At 39.3% G+C, this 18,250-nt stretch overlaps 1 protein-coding gene across 6 annotated transcripts in view; it reads left to right on the top strand.

Moving 5' to 3' along the window:
• Window positions 1-18,250, top strand: part of CENPU (centromere protein U) — a 40,012-nt gene that overhangs the window by 17,259 nt on the left and 4,503 nt on the right. For 3 of the 6 annotated variants that reach the window (NM_024629.4, XM_005263218.5, XM_047416162.1), the window contains exons 6-11: window positions 205-441; window positions 3,825-3,894; window positions 6,658-6,766; window positions 14,397-14,475; window positions 14,702-14,749; window positions 15,957-16,018. In NM_024629.4, coding sequence (NP_078905.2) covers window positions 205-441; window positions 3,825-3,894; window positions 6,658-6,766; window positions 14,397-14,475; window positions 14,702-14,749; window positions 15,957-16,018 — 605 coding nt within the window. Of the gene's footprint in view, window positions 1-204; window positions 442-3,824; window positions 3,895-6,657; window positions 6,767-14,396; window positions 14,476-14,701; window positions 14,750-15,956; window positions 16,019-18,250 lie in introns of those variants that run through there. The other 3 variants (NR_104593.2, XM_047416163.1, XR_007057963.1) reach the window with 2 other exon arrangements.

Raw genomic sequence — 18,250 nt, 5'->3', positions numbered from 1 at the left:
TGAATTGCTGGGAGTGATTATTGTAACCTTTGATTTAGGTTTCCTGTCCTATCCACTAATTAAGTTGCCGTCTTCCTATTATGTTCAATTTTGAAGTGTAGAAGTGAGAAATGTGGACTATATATATGGTTTTCTACTATTACAGTAAGAATTATAAGCATTTCTATTTTCTACATAAGTACTGCTGTTTTTTCTTTCACACAGCCAGGAAGAAAGCTCAGGCCCATTAGTGATGACTCTGAAAGCATTGAAGAAAGTGATACAAGGAGAAAAGTTAAATCAGCAGAGAAAATAAGTACACAACGTCATGAGGTTATTCGAACCACAGCGTCTTCAGAACTTTCAGAGAAACCAGCTGAGTCTGTCACTTCTAAAAAGACAGGACCCCTTAGTGCCCAGCCCTCTGTTGAAAAAGAGAACTTGGCAATAGAAAGTCAATCGGTAAGAACGTCTGCCATCCCCTAGGAGGGCAAAAAAAGTTTATTGAAAAATTTTGGGGAAGAAAATGAAGCATTTTCTCTTTCCTTCAGATCTTTTCAAAGATAAATTTTATATTTTCCTTAATGTAATAAAGATGTTTGTTTTAGAAAATCTAGATGGTATGGCCGGGCGAGGTGGCTCATGCCTGTAATCCCAGCACTTTGGGAGACCGAGGCAGGGGGATCACCTGAGGTCAGAAGTTCAAGACCAGCCTGGGCAATATGGCGAAAACCCATTTCTACTAATAAAGTACAAAAATTAGCTGGATGGAGTGGTGCATGCCTTTAATCCCAGCTACTCAGGAGGCTGAGGCAGGAGAATTGCTTGAGCCCAGGAGGTAGAGGTTGCAGTGAGCTGAGATTGCGCCATTGCACTCCAGCCTGGGTGACAGAGCAAGACTCCGTCTTAAAAAAAAAAAAACAAAAAAAAAGCTAGAAGGTATGGAAAAGAAGATAAAATCATCTGTAATTCCATAACCCAAAATAACCACCATGTTTTTTGGTCTATGCTGTTCAGTCCTTTCAGTGAGCTTTAATTACCCTAAGTGAGATCATATACTTATTATTAAGTATTCAACAATGCATAACATTCCATTCATGGATATGCCATAGTTAATCTCTTACTAATCAAGAATTGCTATTTAAAAAATTATAAGTGCTTTGATGAATTTTGTTGTAGCTAAATATTTGTGCATTCCTTAGATCATTTCCTTAGAAAAAAACTGCTGATAAGAATTCTGGGTCTTAGGCGGGCACGGTGGCTCATGCCTGTAATCCTACCACTTTGGGAGGCCAAGGCAGGCAGATCACGTGAGGTCAGGAGTTCGAGACCAGCCTGGCCAACATGGCAAAACCCCATCTCTACTGAAAATACAAAAATTAGCTGGATGTGGTGGCGCGTGCCTGTAATCGCAGCTACTCAGAAGGTTGTAGCAGGAGAATCACCTTGAACCCGGGAGGTGGAGGTTGGAGTCAGCTGAGACCGTGCCACTGTACTGGGCAACAGAGTGAGACTCTGTCTCAAAAAACAAAGAATTCTGGGTCTTATTGGTGCTAAAATTCTTGACATATAATATCTTTTGGTCAAGTTCTTAATATGTGATTAATTCATTTGGGCTTAATTGAATAAATAATTTATGCTAATGTTTGAAAACTTTTTGAAGTATAATAAGTTGTCCCTGCCACCCTGTCTTCTTCACCTTTCCACCTGCTAAACATACACACAGGTAACCGTATAGTTTCTTATATATCCTTCAAATTTCCTTTTGTACATGTAAACAAATATGAATTTTTTTAATTTTTATTTCCTGTCTTTACACAAATTGAAGCAAACTATGATCTCTGTTGTTGATCTGTCTTGGTGAACATCCCATGTGCACTTGTGTTCTGTAAATGTCAGTTGAGGTCAAGTTGATTCAGAGTGTAGTTCAGAGATTTGGTCTCCTTACTTACTGTTTTGTTTTTGGTGATGGGGCATGGTCTGCTTGATCTATCAGTTACATAGAGGAGGTATTTTTTTAACTTCTGCTAAAAGTCCATTGACTTTTGATGTAATTTTAAATATGGTGAGGTTTACATCTACCATACTGTGTTTTCCATTTGCTCCTATTTTCTCTTTCTCTTAGAACTCATTTTGCATTAGTTGAATGTTGTTTTTGTATTCCATTTTATTTTCTCTATTGGCTTCTTAGCTATACCTTTTAAAATTTTTTTCAGTGGTTGCTCCTGGGTTAAAAATATACATCCATAAATTAGCAAAGTCTCTTTAGAATCAGTGTGTTATCACTTCATACATTCTACTTAACAATTAACTACCTTCCACTACATACATGTAATTACATAACAATATTATGTATAATTCTATTTATCCATCCCCATCCTCTGTGCTGTTTTGTCATATGTTTTACTTCTGTGTTACAAGTCTAACCTTACGGTATTGTCATTTCTGCTTGAAAGAGTTGTTTTTTTAAGAAAAGTATGAGAAGCAGCAGCTCTATAGTCTTTTACCTGTCCCTCTCTCCAGTTCACTGATTGCCTGCCTGTAGATACTAGTTTCCATTTGTTATCTTTTTCCATCAGCCTACAGAATATCTTCTAGCATTTCTTTCATGGCAGGTCTGCTGGTGACAAATTCTCTCAGATTTTGTTTCTCTGGAAGTGTTTTTATTTCAACTCTGTTTTTGAAGGATATTTCACTGGCCGTGGAATTCTGAGTTGACAGATTTATTTCCCAGCTCTTTATACCATTCTGTTGTCTTCTGGTTGCCATGGTTTCTGATGAGCCGTGAGTTGTCTCTTTCCCATGTACCTTTACCTTGTCCTGTGCCCCCATTGCTGCTTGTCCTTTGTTATCAGTTATGTTGTTATCCCCATGATAGTGCTTCTGGTAGGCTTTATGTGGTCTCAACCTGGCACATGGGCAGTACTCAGACAAGGACTCTTAGGACACCCCCCACAGGCACCTGTGCTCTCCTGAGCAGCTTATTCCAGGTGCCTCTCAGCTGGGTAGGATTGTCATGCCCTGCTTAGACTTCAGCTCACTATACCCCATCTAGAAATTGTATGTGTGTGGAGTGGGGGTGGTAGTCATGGGGTTCACCTTCCAAGTTTCCCCTTTCTCCAGGAACTCAGTCTTGTGTTGCCTACTGTCCAGTGCCTGAATAAAATTGCCACCCATATTCCCCCATTTTATGGTTGTTTATGGCAAGAGAGCTAGTTTGGAAGCTGTTACTTCACCATAGCTGGAACAGAAATTTGAGCTGATTCCACATGTTGTTATCTTAAGTAATAAAAGTTCAGCTTTTCCATCAAGGCAACAATTGTTAAAAGTCAACTGAAAGTTTTATTTTCTCTTATTTTGTGATAGTTTTGTTTGCAATGCTTCCTTGTATTACTGTAGATAATTTATGTAACTAATCTGTTTTAGAACTAAATGAGAATTGTAGCTAAAGTTTTTTTTCTTCTTGAGACGGAGTCTTGCTCTGTTGCCCAGGCTGGAGTGCAGTGGCGCAATCTCAGCTCACTGCAACCTCCGATTCCCGCCAGGTTCAAGCAATTCTCCTGCCTCAGCCTCCCCAGTAGCTGGGACTATAGGCACGCACCACCACACCCTGCCAATTTTTGTATTTTTAGTAGAGATGGGGTTTCACCATGTTGGCCAGGCTGGTCTGGAACTCCTGACCTCAAGTGATCTGCCCGCCTCAGCCTCCCAAAGTGCTGGGATTACAGGCATGTGCCACTGTGCGCAGCTAAAATATTGAATGACAGTTTGGTGACAGTCTTAATCCTAATGTTTTAAGAGAAAGAAAACTTTTCTTAAAAACTTAATGCTTTTTTTTTTTGTAGAAAACTCAGAAAAAAGGGAAGATATCTCATGACAAAAGGAAGAAATCAAGAAGTAAAGCCATAGGCTCAGGTAGAGAATGATGTTTTATACTTTGTCACTCATTCAGGAATTTCATAAGAGAAATAAGACCCTATTCTTAATTTGTTATAGTAGTAAATTGTAAGTACATAAAATTGCCACTTTTAAAAATTAGGAATATGTGACTTTGGAGTAACATTTTTTTCTAACGTTTTGTCATGAAAATTTTCAACATGCAACTAAGGTGAAAAAAATTTATAGTATATATTCATATACCCACTACCTAGATTTTACAGTTAACATTTTATTATTTACTTTATTAGATAGGTAGTAAAGCAAGTATTAATCCATTAATCCAGTTTTTAAGGCATTTTAAAATAATGTAGACATGAGTACTTCCTCTGGAATACATAAGTATGCACATGATTAACTGGAGTTCAGTGTGTGTTTACAGTTTTTTCTTTGAATGTAAAATGTACATACAGTACAATGTGTAACTCAAGTCACTGTCAACATGTAAAGTCTTTACTCCAGAAAGTTCCCCCATGCCTCTTTCATGTCAGTCCCCACCCCATTATCTCCAGAGGCAGTGGCTTCAGGGATGCTTTTTCTGCCCATGGATTAGTTTTGCCTGTTCTGGGATTTTGTATAAATGGAATCACATAGTGTGTACTCTTTTGTGTAAGGCTTCTTTCACTCAGCATAGTTTTTTTGCAATCCATCTATGTTGTTTGGTGTCATTTTTATTACTGAGCTTATTCCATTGTGTGATTACACTACAGTTGATCCAGTCTCTTATTGATGGACAACTGAGTTGTTTTCAGGTTTTGGCTATTTGAATAAAGCTGCTGTGAACTTTTTTTTTTTTTTTTTTTGAGACTGAGTCTTGCTCTGTTGCCAGGCTGGAGTGCAGTGGCTTGATCTCCGCTCACTGCAACTTCTGCCTCCCAGGTTCAAGCGAATCGCCTGCCTCAGCCTCCTGAGTAGCTGAGACTATAGGCCCACGCCACCATGCCCGGCTAATTTTTTGTATTTTAGTAGAGACGGGGTTTTACCATATTGGCCAGGATGATCTCAATCTCCTGACCTCATGATCCGCCTGCCTTGGCCTCCCAAAGTGCTGGGATTACAGGTGTGAGCCACCGCACCCAGCCAGTGAACATTTTTATACACATTTTTTTGCGAACGTATGTTTTCATTTCTCTTGGGTAAATGAAAAGGAGTGAAATTGCTGAGTCATAGGGTAGGCATATGTTAAATTTTACAAGAAACTGCCAAACTTTGCAAACTGCATTCCCAAAGTGGTTGTATAATATAGTTTTATACTCCTACCAGAAGTTTAAATGTTTAAGTGCACAGTTTAAATGTTGCTAAGAATATAATGAATAACTTCATGTGAATAAATTTAAAATAGTTAGGGGAGGCTAGTGGGGAGCAGGGGAGAGGGGGAGGCTGGTCAGCAGGTACAAAGTTAGATAGGAGGTATAAGTTCAGGTGTTCTGTTGCACAGTAGGGTGATTATGGTTAATATTACACATTTCAAAACAGCTAAAAGAGGATTTTTAGTCTTCTTACCACAAACAAATGATAAATGTATGAGGTGATGGATATGCTGAATACCCTAATTTGATTTTTTTACACAATACATACATGTATTGAAACATCACACCATACCCATAAATATGTACAATTACTATGTGTCAATTAAAAATAAAATTTTAAAAGTGAATCCACCCACCCCCCTAAAATAGAGGAAAAGGAGATATTAAAGAAGGAATTAATTACGGAAGAAGAGTAGACTATCCTGCCAATGGCTTATGTTAACATACAGAAAATTGGGGGCCGGGCATGGTGGGTGCACCCGTAATCCCAGCACTTTGGGAGGCTGAGGTGAGAGATTGCTTGAGCCCAGGAGTTCAAGACCAGCCTGGGCAACATAGTGGGACCCCACCTTTACAAAAAATTTTCAAAACTAGCCAGGCATAGTGGCGTACACTTGTAGTCCCAGCTGCTTGGGAGGCTGAGGTGGGAGGATCACTTGAGCCTAGGACTTCGAGGCTGTAATGAGTGGTGAGCGTGCTACTGCACTGCAGCTTGGGCAACAGAGTGAGACCCTGTCTCAAAAAAAAATTTTTCTAAGAAAAAAAATTAGGGTATGCTTTGCAAATTGATAACACCTTACAGATGTATAGTAATTTATAGTTTTTGTAAATGCATTCACAGATATTTTCTTGCTTGAGTCTCAATAAAAGGGAGAGCATTGTTTTATTCCATTTATCATTGAGGAAACAGCCTCTGGAAGGTTAAATGGCTTGCCTGAGATCTTAGACTAGTAAGAAAGAAGCTCAAACTAGAACCAAGGTCTTCAGATTCCTGTCTGGTATATTACTGTATATTACTACAATTATTTAAATTAATACACTGAGTAATCTTGCTGTATCCTACAAGTGGCCTATCAGATAGATTAAAATTCAGAAAATACAGCTAACAATGAAGAGCTTATCCCCAGTAATGTTAAATAACAGCACAATACTAAATAAAGATGCAGTAAGGTGATTAAAAGGCAGCAATGCTTTTGGTTGCTTTAGCAGAAATAGGAGAACCAGCGAGACAGCAGTTAGAGTGAAAGTGTATGTAGGGGTTTGCGAGACTGTGCACAGGGATAAGAAGTGAGTACGGCACCTCCTCTCTGATTGTTCAGCTGTAGCTATCTTTTACAATTTGGTGAGACTATTTTTGTGTCAGGCTTTCAGAACCCTGGACCTACAGCCAAAATATGAATAACCAGCATGTTAACTTATCTTAATATTTTAGATACTTCTGACATTGTGCACATTTGGTGTCCAGAAGGAATGAAAACCAGTGACATCAAGGAGTTGAATATTGTTTTGCCTGAATTTGAGAAAACCCACCTAGAGCATCAGTAAGTCTTTTGATGATGTGCTATATTTACCTAATAAATTTCCCCTGAAGCACCATTTTTGCTCATCCTACAGTTTTTGTTATGTACTATTTTCATTGTCATTGTTTTAGATATTTTTACATTTTATTATAATTTTTTCTTTAATTCTTTGAAGAATTCATATGTTTTTATTTGTCCCAAATATGTAGACTTTTAAATTTATATTTTTGTATTAACCTTCTATCTTAAATATGTTGTGGTCAAAGATCATGGTCCAGTGATACCTTTTTTTTTTTTTAAATTTTGAGGCTTTCTTCATGACCTGGTACATGATCTGTGTGGAATTTCTAATCATTAGATCTAGATAGAATCTCTAATTATTGGATCTATGTTCAGTTTTTCTTGGTACTTCTATTCATTTGTGCTGTATATATTTAGAGACTATTAGGAAAATCATGTTTAAAATTGCTCTGTCTTGCAAATTGAACATTTTAGTTGGTCACCCACTCTATTCCTAAACATACTTTGTCTTAAAATTTATTTTACCTGATACTAATATGCATCATAGTTTTCTTTTGCTAGCATTTGGCAGATTTTTTTTTTTTTTGAGATGGAGTCTCTCTCTGTCTCCAGGCTGGAGTAGAGTGGAGAGATCTCGGCTCACTGAAACCTCCACCTCCCGGGTTCAAGCAATTCTCCTGCCTCAGCCTCCCAAGTAGCTGGGACTACAGGCATGTGCCACCCCGCCCAGCTAATTTTTGCATTTTTAGTAGAGACAGGGTTTCACCATGTTGGCCAGGATGGTCTCGATCTCCTGATCTCGTGATCTGCCCACCTCAGCCTCCCAAAGTGCTGGGATTATAGACGTGAGCCACTGCACCCGGCCAGATTTTACATTCTTTTTAATTTCTTTTACTTCCAACCTTTTTGCGACCTTAAATTTTAATTTCCTTATTAGTCTTTTTAAATACAGTGTATCAGTCTTTGAATTTCAACTGTTTAGTCCATTAACATTTATTGTAATATCGATATATCTTGAACAATATGTTGATATATTGTTACTTCTTTAACTTTTTTATTCTACTTTTTGATGTTCTGAATTTTTTTTAACTTAAAAAAGTTGTATTTATAACTCCCCACCTTTAATTCTAAATTAAGGTAGATAGAATTTCCCCTTCTGTTGTGTGTGTCTGTCTCTGTTTTTAAGACAACAACAAAATTCACTTAGGTATTTGATCACTTTTATCTCATATATTTTCTTGCAATATCCTGTAGATAAGTATTTTCTCATATTTAAGCATTTCATCCAACACCTCAGTGTGACTCTTTATGTTGCAAAACTTCTAAACCTTCTGATTATTTTGATTATACCCTTGAATTTGAATGACAGCTTAGCTGGATATAATACTTTAGGTTCTAAATTATTTTCTTAAATACTTTGGAAACTTTGTATTCTTTTACATCAAGTGTTGCTTTTGGAAAATTTGATGTCTATCTAATTCTTATTTCTTTGAATGTGATCTGTTCTTTAGCTCTCTAAACTGTTATTTTTTTTCTTTGATATTCTTAAATTTCACTATATTGAGTCTGACCTTTTCATTCCAAGGTTTTTTAATTTTTTATTTTTTTATTCTATTGCTGCTGAACAAATTTTTTTAATTCTAAGAATTTAAAATATTTTTATCCTGATTTTCTTTTTTGTTCTCTTATCCTTTGCTTCATTCACTGGGAGATTTCCTCAATCTAAGAAATTAGATTTGCTAATTTATTCTTAGAAATATCCATTCTGCCATTTGTCCCATCTGTTGAGTTCTTTATTTAACTTAGCTTTTATATTAATATTTCTGCTTTTTTTTTTTTTTTTTTTTTTGAGATGGAGTCTCACTCTATCACCCAGGCTAGAGTGCCGTAGCGCGATCTCAGTCCCTGCAACTTCCACCTCCCAGGTTCAAGCGATTCACCTGCCTCAGCCTCCCAAATAGCTGGGATTACAAGCATGCGCCACCACGCCCAGCTAATTTTTTGTATTTTTAGTAGAGATGGGGTTTCACTATGTCGGCCAGTCTGCTCTCAAACTCCTGATCTCAAGTGATCCACCCACTTTGGCCTCCCAAAGTGCTGGGATTTCAGGTGTGAGCCACCGCGCCCAGCTATTTCTGCTGCTTGCTTTGTGTCTTGTATTCATGTTTTATGCTGCTAATATCTTCCTTAGAATATCTGTTGGGCTAATTTCAAATTACTGGATCAGCTATTCTAAAATACCTGCTTCTGGTAAGGTTTCGGATATAATATGTGTTTTCCGTTTGAAATAGTTGGGTTCCTCCAGCATCCTGTTATTCCAGCCTCTGAGCTTATTTTCCCCTGGGCCTGTCAGCTTCTGTCAGACAGTATGTATAGAAGAAGGCCAAACCCCAGTCCCTGTTAGTGCCCGTCAGTGCAGGGGGTGGGGTAAGCCCTAGGATGGGCAGCCTCAGCGACTCATCTCACAAAACAGCCTGTCAGGTCAGCACTTCACTCCTCGCCCTCCAGAGAGGAGCAGCAGGAAGAAAAGATGGACTCTGGGTCATCATTCTCCAGCATGGGGGTTTGGCTGGGGAAGGGTGAGGAAACAGCTGCCCAAAGTCAGTCAGCCTCCCATGTTTTTCTCTAGGCCCCACAAGTCCAACCCCAGTTTCAGTCTTGAGGACACAGGGACAGAGGTCTCAGTTGCTGCAGGGGGCAGGGGAGCGGGGGTGAGCAGGCACACTATTGATGAGATCGGTGATGGGAAGAGGCAGGAGTCAGTTTCCTGCAGCTCTCTATTCCTGCCCTGGCCACAGCGCCACTCCTTACAGCAGTTATTCTCTCTACATGACCTTCCCCTCAGGGTTTTCACAGCTTTCTCCATTTTCTTGGTATTCCCTCTGTAGTTCTGGGTGAGCTTGGGGAAAGGAGCCAGCCTGTCATGCCAACTCATCATTATCATTGTGAGAAGTGCCTGTTTTACTCTTCTTTATATTCCAGAGCCAGTTTCCTGTTAAAACTAGGACAGTTCTGTTAACACACCCAAGACCATCTTGCTTGTGTTATCCTTTACCTATTCACAAATCTCTTATAGGAAGCTTATTATAGACTTCTGATGTTTTAGGGAAAATGGCATTGTCCCCTTCTAAATCATTTCTTATATCAAGAACTTACCACCCAGTGGGTAGTAAGGACACAGGGACAGAGGTCTGAGTTGCTGCAGTGGGTAGTAAGTTCTTGATATAAGAAATGATTTAGAAGAGGCATAGTATTTTTTCTTAGACTTATTGCAGTACAACCTTGTGTTTTTGTCATACCAAATAAGAATTCTGGTGAATCACTGATCTCATTTTGTTTCCTTGACAATATGGTGTTCTCAGCCACGTGAAACACTTCACTCTTTCAAAATTAAGTCAACAACTGTTTAAGGGTCTGTTTGTAATATCCTGTACCTAGCACTCACACCTGAATAGCTTCACTGTCATATCAGTATGAACTGATGATAAGCAGTTTATGTATAAGTAGGGAAGTATGCCATGAAATGCAACATTACAAACTCTTAGAATATTCTATAGCTGATTCAATTAATTGAATTTTGCCAGATGTTTTAAGTTGCTAGAATTTGGAAGAGCTGTCTTGTGTAGACCATCACCTTTGTGATTGAAAGAATCCATTGATTTATCATTACAAGCCATATGCAGAGAGGCCTGACCAGTTTTTCTTATTTAAAAAACAAAACAAAACTTTCTTTAGATGGGGGGTGTCACTGTGTTGCCCAGGCTGGTCTCCAACTCCTGGGTTTAGGGGACCCTCCCATCTCAGCCTCCAGAGTAGTTGAGATTACAGGCATGTGCCACCATGACTGGCTATATTTTAAAAATATTTTAACATCTGAAAATAATGATTTGATATTATATTACATTAGAAATTCTTTTTTTTAAAGTGGGGCTTATGTAAATTTTTAATTGTGCTAAAATACACATAACATAAAATTTGCCATTATGCGTTTTTAAGAACACAGGTCAATAGTGTTAAGTATATTCACGTTGTTGTGCTATCAGTCTCCAGAACTTCTTTATCTTGCCCAACTGACATTCTGTACCCGTTAAATCACAATTTTCTATTCTCCACCCCATCTCCAGTGCTTGGCAACCACCCTTCTACTTTCTGTTTCTATGAAGTTGACTACTTCGAATACTTCACGGAAATGAAACCATCCAGTATTTGTCTTTTTGTGACTGGCTTATTTCACTTAGCATGTCCTCAAGGCTCATCTGTGTGATAGCTTGCATCAGAATTTCCTTCTTTGTTAAGGCTGTGTATTGTGTATATACAGATAACCATTCCTCCATTCATTGTTTATCCATTCATTCATCAGTTGACACTTGGGTTGCTTCCACCTGTTGGCTGTTGTGAATAATGTTGCTATGAACATGGATGTATAGAAATACCTCATTATTCATGAATTTTTTTGTTCAATGTGTAATAACAAGTTACAACTTTTTTTTTTAATTAAATGTCTTCTTTTGAGATAATTGTAGAATCACGTGCAGTTGTAAGGAATAATATAGGGATTTTATCATATGCATAGGTTTGTGTATTGCATCACCTCCAGGATCCTTGTGTTCTCGTGCCCCCGCTGTCTTCATGTTGCCCTTTTATAACTACACCCACAGCCCCAAGCCCTGGAAACCACTAACCCGTTCTCCATTTCTATCATTTCATCATTTCAGGAATGTTATATAAATGAAACTGTATCGTGTGCAACCTTTTGGGATTAGCTTTTTTCCACTCAGCATAATGCCTTGGAGATTCATCCAAGCTGTTGTATGATTCCATTCCACTTCATTGCTAGGTAACATTCTATGGTATGGATATACCATGGTTTGTTTGACATTCACCCATTGAAGGAATTTGGGTTGTTTCCAGTTTGGGGCTGTTAACACACACAGTGCTGTAAACATTTGGATACATTTTTTTTTGTTTGAACCTGAGCTTCCATTTCTCTGGGATAAATGCCCAAGAGTGCAGTTGTTGGGTTATATGGTAATTGCATGTTTAGTTTTGTAAGGGACTGAGACTGTTTTCCACGGTGTATGATCTTATTTATGATCCAGATTCTCTACATCCTTGCCAGCATTTGGTGTTCTCACTAATTTTTATTTTAGCCATTGTGATAGGTGTGAAGTGTAGAAATATTTTCTTTTTATTGTGTGTTAACTGTGTGCAACTTGTTAAGCAGCCCATCTCTAGAACTAAAGCCTTAGGAAACGGTAGCTTTGTACCCATTCGAGCAATGACTCCTCATTCCTCCCTCCCCCAGCAATCACCATTCTACTTTGTCTCTATAAATCTAACTGTTCTGGGTACCTCATATGAGTGGAATCATACAATATTTGTCCTTTTGTGACTGTCTTATTTCACTCAGCATAATGTCCTCAAGGCTCACCCATGTCATAGCATGTGTCAGAATTTACTTATTAAGGTGGAATCATATTCAGTCATGTATACACATTCATGTCACTTAACAACGGGGATGTGTTCTGAGAACTGCATCCTTAGGCAGTTTTGTCATTGTGTTAACAGTGTACTTAAACCAACTTAGATGGCATGTACTAGGCTTAGGTGTAAGCCTAGTACATGCCGCGGCTATATGATGTGTTGCCTATTCCTCCCAGGATACACACTTGGACAGCATGTTACTGTATTGAGTACTGTAGATAATTGTAGCATGATGGTAAGTTGTGTATCTAAACATAGAAAAGGTACAGTAAAAATACAGTATAAAAGATAAAAAATGAGCCTGGGCAACATAATGAGACCTGTTTTCTACAAAAAAGTTAAAAATTAGGCGTGGTGGCATATGCCTGTAGTCCCAGCTACACGGGAGGCTGAGGCAGGAGGATCACTGGAGTCAAGGAGTTTGAGGCTGCAGTGAGCCATGATCACACTACTCAGTCCAGCGGGGGTGACAGAGTGAGACCTTATCTCAAAAAAAAAAAAGATGAAGTATGTTACACCTGTTTGGGGCACTTAGTAATTTATTACCTAGTATTATGTAGTATACCTAAGTATGTGTGCTATACTTTTACACAGCTAGGCAACACTATAGGTTTGTTTACACCAGCATCACCACAAGTATGTGCATAATGCATTGTGCTATGACATTATGATGGCAACAGTGTCACTAGGTGATTAGAAATTTTTAGCTCCATTATTGTCTTATGGGTCTACCACTGTATGTGCCATCCATCGTTGACTGAGACATTGTTATGTGGTCATGATTTTAACACATTTCCTTTATCCATTCATCTATCAATGGACACTTGAGTTGTTCCCACCTTTTGGCTATTGTGAATAATGCTGCTACAAACATTGGTGTACAATTGATATTCAAGTCCGTGCTTTCAATTCTTTTGTGTATGTACCTAGAAGAGGAATTGCTGGATCATGTGGTAATTCTGTGTTTAATTAATTTAATTTATTTATTTTTTTGGAACTGCCAATACTGTTTTCCACAGTGACTATATCATTTTACATTTCCACCAGCAACACAAGGGTTCCTATTTCTGTACTTTCTCACCAACACTTGTTGTTTTGTTTTTTTTTAATAATAGCCATCTTAATGGGTGAGTGAGCCAAGCCAGGAGAATCAGAGCCTGGCCACCAGATCTCTTCTCCCCAGTGACAGAGACCTGAGGCAGTTTCTTTGAGTCAGCTTTATAGTTTCTGAAGAACTAACACCTGATTTATGGCTACTTTTTGGCTAGTCCAGATGTGTTACACAGTTGCTCCTCCTTTTGCTAACAGGCAAAGAGGGAGGGAATAAAGTCTGCTGGGTCTATCAGTTAGCAGAAAAAGATTGGGAGTATCCATAAGCATTTCTACCTTACTTGGTATCACCTGTGAGGTTGGTCAGTATCAGGGAATTAAGATGACCCCGTACCAGAGGGCTTAGGGAATAATATGTTTGTTCTTTTTCTTTTGCTGATACATGTTTCCGGTGTTTTTTTCAGGCTGAACATTGCCATCTTAGTTATTTAAAATGGTGCTCTCATATGTTCATTGCAGCATTATCCATGATAGTAAAGACGGAATCAACCTAAGTGCCCATCAACTGTGGGTTGGATAAAGAAAATATGGTACATATAGACCATGGAATACTACACAGCTATAAAAAAGAACAAAATCATGTCCTTTGCAGCAATATGGATGCAGCTGGAGGTCATTATCCCAAGTGAATTATTGCAGGAACAGAAAGCCAAATACCGCGTGTTCTTACTTATAAGTGGGAGCTAAACACTGGGTGCACATGGACATAAAGATGGCAACAATAGACACTGGGGACTCCTAGAGGGAAGAGAGACAGAGGGATTCAAGGACTGAAAACAACCTGTTTGCTACTATGCTCGCTACCTGAGTGGTGGGGTCAGTTGTACCCCAAACGTCAGTGTCATGCAGTATGCCCATATAACAAACCCCTTAATCTAAAACATTGAGATTATTAAAAATAAGAGATTAAAGATATTTTTAAAATAAAAAAAGGTATATGCCAAATTGTATGTGTATGTTTGTTTGTATGCTAAGCAAATGAAACACCTTTCAAAATCCATCATGGTACTTAGACTTTTTTTTAATTCCTCTACAGACAAAGAATAGAATCTAAAGTTTGTAAGGCAGCCATCGCCACATTTTATGTTAATGTTAAAGAACAATTCATCAAAATGGTAAGCTCACGGACATGCATTTGTTGGTCTAAGGTTTTTTTCACTAATCCTGTAGCAGCATATTGTTGTCTTAGAAAAGCTTGCATTTGCTGGCAGTATGGTAATAAACTCATTAGAACTATTCATATTCCACATAACTGTTTTTAAACTAAATGTGACACATGTGAAACTAATTAACATTTACTTTTGGAAACTGATGTACATGTGTATTTTTTGTTTTGTGTAGCTTAAAGAAAGCCAGATGTTGACAAATCTGAAAAGGAAGAATGCTAAGGTAAATTATTTATGTGATTAGAGTCATAGAGTCAAACACAATACTAATGTAGAGTTATGCGAAGACTTGACTCTGGGTTTACAGCCTTTAGAGTGTGAGTAGATTTCATAATCTTGTCAGGCTTTTATTTGGTTGATCTTGTGGTTGATACGGTTGGTATTATTAATGCAAGGTAAGGAATGGGGATCCTAGTCACTTTTGTTTCCTAAGGCTGCACGAGTGTCAAAATAATTGTTTTTATAATTAAAGACAGAAATTTAAGCCTTTTATTAATGTCACAAAGGTAGCTTTAAAAAAACTACCCAGTCCAAAATGACCACTTACATGGATAAATATTAATATATATTTATTGCTTTTGTGGATGTCGAAAAGCACAACCTTTTAGAATAAAGAACTGTCCCAGGTAGGACAGCCTGGGAAGAATACTGGGTTAAGGGTCAGGAGACCTCATGTCTAGTCCTGGTTCTGCTGCTTCATTGCTATACCACCTATAAGCTGTATACCACTGGGTCTGCAGTGGGTGACAAGCCAGCCAGCATGAGAGTCTCCTTTGCTTACCTGGAAATGGTTGGACCAAATGACCTCTGAGCATCAGAGGTGAATCCAGGAGTGGAAGTCCACCTCTACATTTAAAGTAGAAGTGGACTTGAAATACATACGTTTTCCTTCCAGTGATTGCAAGCTCTGGGATGTTTTTGTTTTTCAGTTTTAATCTCTTATTGGTCATTTCTGCATTGCTTATTACGGAGTGGGAACATTATGAATGTCTAACAATGGAGAATTAGGTAGTCACTAAAAGTGACTGAATGTCCGAGATAATAAAATATGAAATATTTCTTTTAAAATACAGAGTGGATCACAACACTCCCCTGCTTTGATAGTTTCCTAGTATGCCTAGATAAAATCTCCTCACTTTACAGGTCACAGGGTCCAGTAAAGACCTGGCCCCTGCTTTCCTTCCTCTGGTCATTCTGAAGTAGATACCCCTGCTTTTCTTTTCCAGAGTTCTCTCTTCTTTTCCTACATATCACAAGCTGTAAATACATACTGTTTCTATGTAATGTCTGTCTTCCCCATTAGACCAAAGTCTGTGATGGTAAGAACTGGGTCTGTCTTGTTTTCCACTGCACTTCATTACCTGGCAGCTTATGTGGCAGTGCTCAAACAGTTACAAATTAATTTTAACACAAATGATTGTGTTACTTAGATGATTTCAGATATCGAAAAGAAAAGGCAGCGTATGATTGAAGTCCAGGATGAACTGCTTCGGTAAGATACTGTCAAATCCTGTTTGAGCACTTACCTAAAAGGATGTAATGATGGTGTGTCATTTAGGGGAGTGACACTTGCTGCTGTGATGTATTAAAGCCCCAGGTTATCTTCAAGCTCCGATACTCAGTGAAGGCAGGGTATGCTGCTTAGTTGCCCCACCTTTTGACAAAGGAGAATTCCACACTGATCTATCTCCACAGATTTCTCAGCTCTGGCCTTAAGAGATATAATGCCTAGATTCTAGAATTCAGCTGCCTGGGTTGAATTCTAGAATCTACACATTAAACTGCTTGAACTGCTTGGGTTGAACCCAAGCTCTGCCACTTACTGGCTGCGCAACATTGACCAAGTTATTTAATGTCCCAGTGTCTCAGTTCCCTCTTTTGTATATAGGCATAATAATAATCATACCTATACTTCACAGAGTGTTGTGGAAATTAAATAAGTACATATATAGAAAGTGCTTCACAGGGACAGGCGCACACAGTAAGTGCTGTGTAAGTGTTGACAATTGTTTATGTTATTGTCGAAGGGTATGCCTTGGAGTGACATGCATGTGAATCCACTCCCAAGTGTGGGCCAGGTGAACTTACCAGGCCCTGCAGGCCAGGGCTGCCCCCAGTTTCTGGTTAGGAAGACTGGAGTGCACATCAGCTGTCAGCCCCCAAGTGTGTTTTGAGGCCAGGGCTGTTGTGAGAGCTAGAGGCTTGGTAGTAAAACAGTGCTAGATGTGGTGTCTGCTCCTGAGCTTAAAAATAGCTTGAGAAAGACAGTGATATTATCAGAAAAGAATGTGCATAATGAAAAGTTGAAACTTTTAAAAACTCACTCAAAACTAAGTTTTAAAAAAGAGGCTGCTAGGCCGGGCACGGTGGCTCACGCCTGTAATCCCAGCACTTTGGGAGGCCGAGGTGGGCAGATCACTTGAGGTCAGGAGTTCAAGACCAGCTTGGCCAACATAGTGAAACCCCATCTCAAAAATACAAAAATTAGCCGGGTGTGGTGGTGCATACCTGTAATCCAAGCTACTCGGGAGGTTGAGGCACGAGAATCGCTTGAACCTGGGAGGCGGAGGTTGCAGGGAGCCGAGATTGTGCCAGTGCACTCCAGCCTGGGTGACAGAGTGAAACTGTGTCTCAAAAAAAAAAGAGAGACTGCCACAGGAGTTTAAGTGGGAGAAAGCAGTTGTCTAATCTGTTGGTTTCTAAATTGAGTCTCTGGACAGGTGCTGGCCTATGGTAAGGTTTTCACTGACCCAGGCCAAAATAAGAAAACTAAAGGTAAATATAATAGGGAAAGCTAACATTTACAAGCTTCCTGTGTGGCAGGGCACTTTCCTAAACGCTTCCTATGCTAACTCATCATCATCACAGTCCTATGAGATAAGTGGTTATAGCTACAGTCAGGCCGTGCCTGGTTACACTTGTCTTCGGTGTGAGACTACTGAGACAAGTTTATTTTATTTATTTATTTATTTATTTATTTTTGAGACGGAGTCTGGCTCTGTCGCCCAGGCTGGAGTGCGGTGGCGCTATCTTGGCTCACTGCAAGCTCCGCCTCCCGGGTTCGCGCTATTCTCCTGCCTCATCCTCCCGAATAGTTGGGACTACAGGCGCCTGCCACTGTGCCCGGCTAATTTTTTTTTGTATTTTTAGTAGAGACAGGGTTTCACCATGTTAGTCAGGATGCTCTGGATCTCCTGACCTCGTGATTCGCCTGCCTTGGCCTCCCAAAGTGCTGGGATTACAGGTGTGAGCCACCGCGCCCAGCCTGAGACGTGTTTTAAAGACTGACTTTTGTTTCTTTTCTAGATATAAATTTAGAAATTGAGAAGTGTATTTTGAAAAGGCATAATAAAAAAACCTATGGTATATAATTATTTTAACTTGCCATATGAAAACCTAAGGCACAGGGAGGTAACTTGCCTACGGTGCAGCCCTAGGAAGTCAGGGAGCCAGGATTCACTGTCAGCTGACTGACTCCAAATCCAGCACTCCTGACCATGGCTGCCAGTTCAGTAGTGAGTTTTCCCCAGCGCTGCATTTGTTCAGTGTAAAGAATCGTTAAAGAAGACTTTTCCTGGCTCACGCCTGTAGTCCCAGCACTTTGGGAGGCTGGGGCGGGTGGATCACTGAGGTCAGGAGTTCGAGACCAGCCTGGCCAACATGGTGAAACCCCGTCTCTACTAAAAATACAAAACTTAGCCGGGCGTGGTGTGGGCACCTGTAA

The sequence above is a fragment of the Homo sapiens genome, chromosome 4, assembly GCF_000001405.40.
Source record: "Homo sapiens chromosome 4, GRCh38.p14 Primary Assembly".
In the NCBI taxonomy this organism is placed as follows: domain Eukaryota; kingdom Metazoa; phylum Chordata; class Mammalia; order Primates; family Hominidae; genus Homo; species Homo sapiens.
This window is presented reverse-complemented; position numbering and strand designations above follow the sequence as displayed.